The sequence below is a fragment of the Homo sapiens genome, chromosome 14, assembly GCF_000001405.40.
Source record: "Homo sapiens chromosome 14, GRCh38.p14 Primary Assembly".
NCBI classification, from domain to species: Eukaryota; Metazoa; Chordata; class Mammalia; order Primates; family Hominidae; genus Homo; species Homo sapiens.
The window spans coordinates 84,187,464-84,197,904 of record NC_000014.9 but is presented as its reverse complement, the minus strand read 5'-3'; positions in this window follow the sequence as shown (position 1 = coordinate 84,197,904).

Sequence of the window (10,441 nt, the reverse complement as noted above, 5' to 3'; positions counted from 1 at the left end):
CAGCCCACTCATTCCACCTCCTTGATGAAATAGAATTGGAAGAGGTTGCCTCTGAGTGTATTTCAACATCAGAGACTTCTCACTCTTTTCTAAGAAGAAGACCATCTCTGTCTCAATCCTGACATTGTTTGTACCTTTGTTTTTTTTTTTTTCCTGCATCTGGAACACACACGAATTTAGCTGGCATTTCTCATCTGTGTAGTTTTAGTATTTTGTAACTATTCCTAACTTTTGCCATACCCTACACCTCACTTCCTCTGCAAGACAAGCAAAAAAAAAAAAAAAAAAAAAAAAAACCTGAAATTTAGTAAAGTCAGGGAAAACAACACACTTCTAGTCTCATTTTGAGAACTTTATCGCTTCTAGTTATAGGAAAAGATTAAATATATACTAATACTTTGGGTGTCATTAAGTAAATAAAATTGGATGTTGAATTCTACCAAGATTGTTCTCAATGGCCAACAGGCCTCTCTTCTGAGCTGTATTCAAACAATCTATTTTATGCATCCTAACTTTGGTGCTCCTAGATCCATTCACTCCAAGGAGGGTATGTTTATTTTGTGAATTGCTTGACTACCCTTTCGGCAGAGATCTTTCATTATCAATTCTGGTGAGCAAACTTATCTGATACAGTATCAGTTTAGCTCAGTGGAAAACCAAAATGTCATTCTAATTTTAATATTTTCATCTTAAAAACAACTTATATATATAATTTATATATATTATATAATTTATATATAAATTTTATAATTATAAATTATATATATATTATATATAAATTATATATAAATTTTATAATTATAAATTATATATAAATATATATAAATTATATATATAAAAGTTTTGTTTTGTTTTGTTTTGTTTTGAGATGGAGTCTCGCTCTGTAGCCCAGACTTGAGTGCAGTGGCGCGATCTCTGCTCACTGCAACATCCGCCTCTCGGGTCCTAGTTCAAGCAGTTCTCCTGCCTCAGCCTCTGGAGTAGCTGGGATTACAGGCACGTGCCACCATGCCCAGCTGATTTTTGTGTTTTTAGTAGAGACAGGGTTTCTCCACGTTGGGCAGGCTGTTCTTGAACTCCTGACCTCGTGATCCGCCCGCTTCAGCCTCCCAGAGTGCTGGGATTACAGGCGTGAACCACCGCGCCTGGCCATTAAAAATGTGTATTTTTATATACTGTTTTAAACTATAAATTATATATAATTTGTATATATAAATTATACTGTTTTAAAAATATATTATTAAAGGGAAACATGCTAGACAAATCTCTATATATGGCTAGTCTGCTTACTAGCTGGTATGTTTGCTTCCAAAAATAACTTACATACAATAAAGTACAGTGGACAATTATCAGAAAAGCTAATTGATACAGCATTTGAGGCTGAAAGAATCTAAAATCTCACTAATGTTTATTTTGTTTCTGAAGTAGCAAAGTACTCTTGATGTTAAGATTTTTGTGTTTTGATGGTAAGCAAAGATAACAAAGATGGTGAATAAATGTATAAATTTATTGTGAAAATGGCAGTTAATTAATGAAATACCAAAATTAAAATTATACTTCGTCATAATCTTTGGTTCATAATTCACTTTCATAACTGGCCCACAAATGGTTCATTTTTTTGTCTCTCTGTCTCTCCCTTTCTCTCTTTCTCTCTCACATACACACACACACACACACACACACACACATCCATACCCACACGCATACCCATACTCACACACACCTGTGAGCCTACCATCAAAAATGAGAGCTAGAATAGTCACAATAGATTATATCAACCTGTCTCTCATCTCATATCTATCTCTGCTTTTCCAAGTGATGTATCTTTTTATTGTTTTCATAATTCCTGTGATTTTACTTAATATAGCTTTGGCATAAACATTTTGCCAATATATATACATATATTATTTAGTTTTAGGTGTTTTTAACTTTATCATTAAAGGTAAGATGCTGTAAATAATCTTTGGGACCATATTACTGTCACTTTACACCAAACTGTTACAATTCATCCATATTATGACATATAGTTGTATCCATTAATTTCTTTTCTAGATATTTCATTCTTTTAACACAGAGTTTCTCAACCTTGATAGAATAATTGAGATTTGGGGCTGATAATTCTTTGCTGAGTGTCCTTGTTCATTATAGGATATTTAGCAGTACTTCTGGCCTCTACCCACAAGATGCCAGCAGCATCCCTCCAGTTGTGACAACCAAAAAATGTCCCTAAACATTTCCAAATGTCCTCTTGGGAGCAAAAGTCACCAGAGGTTGGGTACTACTGGTTTGAAATATCACAGTTTGTTTATTCATTGCATTGGCAATGTGTTCCTGTGGGGTGCTTTTTTTTCCCATATTTTGTATAATTCTGGTGAACTTTCTGAAATATTCTCCTGATATGCACCTTGCAAAACTTTTTCTGAGTGGAATTGCTAGCTTGTAAGGCATGTAATCATAGATCTTTGCTTAAAAAATGTCAAATACTTTTCCAAAATGCCTGTATTGAATTGCCCTTCTACCTGCTTTGTGAAAAGGGCCTTTGATTCACAATTTCTCCAACTCTCATCTTGTCAAATTTAATATTTGCCAAGGCTAGTTGAACAATTATAAAAGAGTATCATACTGTGGTCCTAATTTACATTTCCCTGATTACTAAGATTGAACATTTCCTCATAAAGACTGAACATCTTACAGTTTTATAGTCCTATTTGCCACTTGTGTCTTGTATTCTGTGAAATAGTGCCTTTGCCTGTTTTTTTTTCCTCTTTCTCTATCTCATCTAAATTTTTCTTTTAACACTTGTGTTAGTTATATATGTTACAAATATTTTCTCTCAGTTTATAACTGTATTAGTCCATTTTCATAGTGCTATAAAGAACCTCCTGAGACTAGGTAATTTATAAAGGAAAGGGGTTTAATTGACTCACAGTTCTACATGGCTGGGGAAGCTTCAGGAAACTTACAATCATGGCAGAAAGGGAAGAAAACATGTCCTTCTTCACATTGCAGCAAAAGAGAGAAGAAGGAGAGCAGAGAAAAACGGGAAGCCCCTTATATAACCATCAGATCTTCTGAGAACTTACTCTCTATCATGAGAATATCCTGGGGAAAACTACACCCATGGTTCAATTATCTTCACCTGATCCTGCCCTTGACACATGGAGATTATTACAATTCAAGGTGAGATTGGGGTGGGGACACAGAGCCATATAATTTCAATCCTGGCCCCTCCCAAATCATATGTTCTTACATTTCAAAATATAATTATGCCCTTCTAAGAGTTCCCCAAAGTTTTAACCTATTCCAGCCTTAACCCAAAAGTCCAAGTCCAAAGTCTCATCTGAGGCAACACAAGTCCCTTCCACCTATGAGCCTGAAAAATCAAAAGCAAGTTAGTTAGTTACTTCCTAGATACAATGGGGGTACAGGCATTGGGTAAATATACCCATTCCTAATGGGAGAACCTGGCCAAAACGAAGGGGCTACAGGGCCCATGCAAGTCCAGAATCCAGCAGGGCAGTCAAATCTTAAAGCTTCAAAATAATCTCCTTTGACTCCATGTCTCACATCCAGGTCACGTTGAGGCCAGAGCTCCCATGGCTTTGGGCTCCCATGGCTTTGGGCTGCTCTGCCCCTATGGCTTGGCAGGGTATAATTCCCCCATGTCCAGGCTGCTTTCATGGCTGATGTTTAGTGTCTGTGGTTTTTCCAGGCACATGGTGCAAGCTGTTGATGGATCTACCATTCTGGAGTCTGCAGAACAAATGGCTCTCTGAACTCCACTAGACAGTGCCCCAGTGGGGACTCTGGGTGGATGCTGTGACCTCACATTTCCCTTTGTCACTGCTCTAGCAGAAGTCCTCTATGAGGGCTTCACCTCTGCACCACACCTCTGCTTGGACATCCAGGCATTTTCGAACATCTTCTGAAATTTAGGCAGAGGTTCTTAAACCTCAGTTCTTGACTTCTGTGCACCTGCAGGCCAAACCCACATTAAGCCACCAAGGTCTGGGGCTTGCACCCTCTGAAGCAATGGCCTGAGCTGTACTTCATCCCCTTTTTAGCCACAGCTGGAGCTGAAGCAGCTGGAATACACGGCACCATGTCTTGAGGCTGCATGGACCGGGGGGCCCTGGGCCTGGCCCAGAAAACCATTTTTCCCTCCTATGCCTCGGGGCCTGTGATGAGTGGGGATGCCTTGAAGATCTCTGACATACCCTGGAGACATTTTTCCCATGGCCTTTGTGATTAACATTTGGCTCCTCATTACTTATGCAAATTTCTGCAGGTGGCTTGCATTTCTCTCCAGAAAATGAGTTTTTCTTTTTTATTGCATCATCAAGCTACAAATGGTCCAAACTTTCATGCTCTGCTTCTCTTTTAAACATAGGTTCCAATTTCAGATCGTTTCTCTCAAGTTCAAAATTCCACAGATCTCTAGGACAGGGGAAAAATGCCACCAGTCTCCTTGTCAGAGCATAGCAAGAGTGACCTTTGCTCTAGTTCCCAAGAAGTTACCCTTCTCCATTTGAGATCACCTCAGCCTGGACTTCATTGTCCATATCACTATCAGCATTTTGGTCAAAGTCATTCAACAATTCTCCAGGAAGTTGCAAACTTTTCCACATCTTCCTGTCTTCTGAGCCCTCCACATTGTTCCAAACCTGCCTGTTATCCATTTCTAAAGTAGTTTCCACATTTTCAGGTATCCTTATAGCAGCATCCCACTCTACTAGTACCAATTTACTGCATTAGTCTGTTTTCATTCTGTTATAAAGAATTTCCAAGACTGGGTAATTTATAAAGGAAAGAGGTTTAATTGACTTATAGTTCCACATGGCTGGGGAGGCCTCAGGAACTTATAATCATTGTAGAAGGGGAAGAAAACACAACCTTCTTCAAATGGCAGCAAGAGACAGAAGAAGGAGAGCTAAGCTAAGGCGGAAGCCCCTTATAAAACGACCAGATCTTGTGAGAACTTACTCACTATCATGAGAATAGCATGGAGGAACCCATCCCCATGATTCAATTATCCTACCTGGTCCCACCCTTGATACATGGGGATTTTTACAATTCAAAGTGAGATTTGGATGAGGACATAGCCAAACCATATCAATGACCTATATTTTTAGTTATCTGAGGTGCCTTTTTATGAACACAAGTATTATGCTTTAATATAGATAAATTTATCTTTTCTTTATCATTTATTAATTTTTTGTTAACATAGCTTTTCCTACCCAAAAGCTAAAAAGATATTTGGATTTACCCGTATTTTCCTAAGTACTTAAAAATTTTGCTTTATACAATTATATTGCAGTATAATTGGAATTGATATATTTTGTAAGATAAAAATCTTATTTCTTTGTTTGCATTCTCATGTGAGTAGATATTTTGTTCTGCTTCAATTTTAGAATAGATTTTCCATTCTCCACTGATACAACATGGCTCTTCCTTGATAAAGCAATATTTTACATATATATTACATATATATATTACATATATATATAATATATATATTATATGTAAAATTATATATATATAATATATATATAGTATATATATTTGTTTCTGGGTTCATAATTCTATGCCATTCATCAATTTGTGCATCTATGTGCCAGTCATTGCTTAATAATAAATATTGCTATATACGGGACAAATATCCTACCATAATCTTTTTAAAGAAAACTTCCTCCAGATGTATCTGGATTATAATTGGCCATTGGGTAATTCATGTAAATTGTAAATTCACCTCAGAAAAGTTCTATAATTTTAAGATTTTTATCAAAATTACACTAAAATTTAAGATAAATTTGAAGAAACTTGATATATTTATTAAATGTAATCTTTACTAAATTAATTCTATTAAGTCTTCCCATATATAAACATTGTGCATCTCTTCCTTTGTCTTCTTTAATTTCTCTCAATAAAGATTTATCATTTATCCCTTGTAAATCTTGGATATTCTGGTTATGTTTACAACTATTTTACCTTAAGATAATTTTTGTTGATACCATATATTATATTTTTTAAATGATGCTCTCTTGTTATTTGTTGCCATATTATATAATCGAAATAAAGTGTTGAATATTAAACTCAGATCCAGTCACTTATTTATAATAATTTGTCTGTGATTTTTTGGTAGTGAGTAGACAGTAATATTATTTACAAAAAGTTAAAGTTTTATATGTCTTCTTCTTTCTCCTAGGCTGTACAATGGTCGCACAAAAAATACCCACATTCTAATCTCTGCAGTCTGTGAGTAATATCTTATATGGCAAAAGAAGTCTTTGCAAATGTGGTTAAGGATCTTGAAACAGGGGTATTATCCTGGATTATCAAAGTGGGTCTTACATGAAATCACAATTGTGCTTATAAGATAGAGAGGCAGAGGGGGATTTTACACAGATACAAGAGGAAAATGTGATGTGATCATAGAGGCAAAGATTAAAGTAAGGTGTTAAGATCAATAATTCAAGTAATTTAAGTAACAAGCCAAGGAATGCTGACAGCTATCAGAGGAGGCAAATAATGACTCTTCCCTGAATAGTTAGAGGGAATGTGGCTTACTGACATCCTGATTTTGACCAACTGCAAACAATTTCAGAATTCTGACCTCCAGAACTGAAACAGAACAAATGTGTGTTGTGTTAAGCCACCACATTTGTGGTCATTTTTACAGCAGCCACAGAAAAATTGTTCACTAATGTTATGGCATTTATTTCTCATTATTTTATTTGGCTTGCTAAGAAATCCCAGGTAGTGATTAATAAAAGTAGAGATAACAAGTATCTTGATGTTAGAAGAATATTCTAACATGTATATATTTTTCCACTTAGGTTGTTGTTTGTTGTATATTTGTAGATATACCCATTAGATAAAAGAATTTTTATCTATTTCTAATTTACTAGAATTTATTAAATCAAGAATTTTATCTATTTAAAGTAGGACACGATATCTGCAGGCTTATCATACTAAATTATATTTATATTTTCAGAAGAAAGCCACTGATCATTGAGTATAATCTTTAAATATATTGTTGGATGTTTGCTAATACTTCTTTGGGATTTTTGCATCTATTTTTGTAAGTGTAAGGGATCTGTGATTTTTCTTTTTTTTCTGAAATTTTGTGATTTGGGTGTCAATGTTATATTTGTTTCACAGAATAAAATAAATAGTAATTCTTCCTTTTGCATAATCTGGATGAGTTTTTATAAGGTATGAATTAGTTTTTGAACATTGCCAAAACTCAACTGTAAAACCTCTGGACTGTGAGTTCTCTTTGAGGGAAGATGTTAAAGTACAGCTTTAATTTCTTAAGCATAGTACTATCGATAGATCCTGTCTCTTTTTCTGTCACTTTTGGTAAATTACATTTTTCTAAGATTTTATTTTTATTTTATCATATGTAAATTTTAAAAAGTTGGGGGATAAATTTACATATAGAATACCTGTTATATTTTAACTTTTGCTGTCTGTAATTATGACCTCGTTACATTTTTGCCTCATCTGTAATTATATTCTTGAGAATGTTTTTTATTGTATCCTCATATTGGATAACAATTTAACTGAATACAAACTTCTATTATCAATCTGTAATCATGTCTCAATTTTTGTTTGCAATAATTTTTATCTGCATTTTCTTTAGTTTTATTTCTATGACCCTTTTTGGAGGTTGTCTATTTTGTTACTCTTTTCAAATAGCCGTATTTCAAATTTATTTTTTGCTACTAAGTTCTAATTTAATTCTGTTGAAATCAGAATTATAAAGTAGTTGATGGGAATTATAAATAGTTCTTTGAGAACTATTTTAATGTTTAATGCACAATACATAATTTAATTTAAATATTTAGTGCATACTTGAGAACATATAATTTCTAATTTACTGAATGCACCGCTTTTTACATAACACTCTCTCCTTTTCCACACCCTCTCTGAAGTTAAGTTGAATAAGTCTATTGTTCACAACTTTCATATTCAACCTATAATAATTAGGCGGCATAGTAAAATCTCCTACTCTGACACTGGGTTTGTATGTCTCTGTCATTATGTGAAATTTTGCTTTATATAGTTGAAGACTGTTTTATGAGGTGCATGCATGTTATTAATTTTATGTATTCTTACAAATTAAGCCTAATGGCATAGTATAATAAAACATTAATATTTGCTGATGATTTTTGTTTTTAAAACAATTTTGCCTGCTAGTGTCATGAACTGTCTTACCTAATAGTCATGAACTGTCTTGCCTAATAGTATCCTGAATTTTTTTTTTTTTTTGTCTTTCATTTTGCTTTGTATAACTTTATCCTCTATGTTTAGGCATATCTTCTTAACGTCTTATAATTGGATCTTCTCATTTTCTACTTTCAAAAATCTAATCCAAATCTAGTTTTTAGCAACCGCATTTTGTCCTTTTATGTTGATTGTTATGTTAATACAATTGAGCAGCATTTTTTCTCCCATTTTACTTTTTAATTTCAATTTGCCAAATTTTCCTTCCCTTATAATCCAATCTTACTTTAAAAAAATTATTTTTATAGTTTCACTTCGGTCCAGTCAACATGTTTTGTTCTTCTCACAATAATTTCCATCATATGTACAGGGTCTAGTTAGAATTTTAATTCTTAGTAACTGTAAGTAGAATTTATATATTTCCTTTATTTGGTCTTAGCAGTTGTTTAGAATATAACTACCTTGAGGATGCTATGAGATTATCCTAGGTTCTTATTTGTCCTGCGGCATCTGTTCTTGCATTGTCTTGCAGAATTTTTTAAATTTTGACTACAAACTTGTTTTTATAACATACACTTAGGAGAAGACATTCTAAGGCCTTACGTGCCTGAGACAGTTTTTCAGAAATTATACCCATAGTTTTGAATAAATTTTTGCTAAATAGGTTCTAAGCTCAGAGTCATATTTTCTTTTTCACTTACAAAATATTATTCTATCACCTTCTTTAATCCATGGTTGCTATTGAAGAGCAAGCTAGTTATTTTTTTTCCCTTTTAGACTGCTCGTTATTATTCTTTAAAAGCTTTTGGAAATTGTTTTGAATTTGTATAGGTTTCATTTATTATTTTTGTTGCTATTATCTGTTTGGTTTAGCATTTTTTACTCCATTTCAACTTAATGTTTTTGTCTTTAATTCTGAGAAATGTATCTTCATTATATCTCCAAATATTTTATTGCCTCTATTTTTATTTTTCTGTCCTTTAGGGTTCTCTGTTATCTGTATGTTGACTGTTCCTATTCTATCTTTTACAATTTAGCTTTCATTTTATAAATTTTTATATTCTCTTCCACTTCATTCTGGGAGAGTTCCTAAATGTGATTTTCCAATCAATTATGTATTCTCCAGCTTTTTTCTATATACCATTTATCTCATCTTTTGTGTTCTTTAAGTTTTTGTTTTCATACTTAATTATTTAATGATTTGCTATACATTTTTATTTTATGTTACCAATATATTTCTGTATTTTTACTGTGCTTTTAATCTATATCTCAAAATTTTTAATACTTTTGCTTTGATGATATCCAGTTTTTTAAATCTGTAAAGTCCTCCTGAGCTCATATTTCCCTGGGAACTCTCAGTGTTTTTGTTTGATAATGCATCTAATAAAAGCTGTATTCTGGTCTTTGTCAACCCACGTGGTCTCAAAGAATGAGAAGGGGTGTCCCCATGTTGTAGATGCCCAGGCGACTAAACACTTCTTTTTTATCTCTTTTTGTTCAGGTGTGTTTTTTAACCTCTTGCCTGTAGGGAAAGTGTTATAAGGCTTTGCAGTATATCAGCATCAAGAGTTTAATAATGGAAGAATGGGTGATTTAAATCTAGAGGCTAGTCATAGACAGGTATTTCTTCATCTCTTCATAAGTTCAAGCCTTTATGTTGTGCACAAATTACCCCTGCAGAAAACTACACCAGTGTTTGAGACATTGGCCTTGGTTTTTTGCAGTGAGGAGACAGGTATTTATTTTCCTAAACTAAGTAGAGCATAAAGGAAAGGGAAAAACTCAGACCACTCCAAAATGGCCCCCATGCCACTCTTCCAATTACAGCAACCACAGACAACATTTCAAAGCAACCTTTCTTTTTTCCAGTTATTTGTTTATTTTTTCCCGAATCTTATTTTCCCTCCCTAGTTTCCTAGATGTTGATCTTTTAGGAGGGAAACATTAGTCTGGGCTACATTAAAACACACTGTTTAAAAGGTCTGCAAAATACATATTAATTGAAACCTATTTTATTGCTTTACTTTATTAATAAGAACAATAAGATTCAGAGAAGTTAAATAATTTACTTTACATCACAGGACTACTAATGGAGGCTCTACCCTTAAAACTAGCAAGCTTCCTGAGTTGTAAGAGCCTGTTTTTCTTTCTTAGTAGTACATAATAGAAGGAATCTTAGATACAATAAAATATAGTTATTATAAGTGTACTT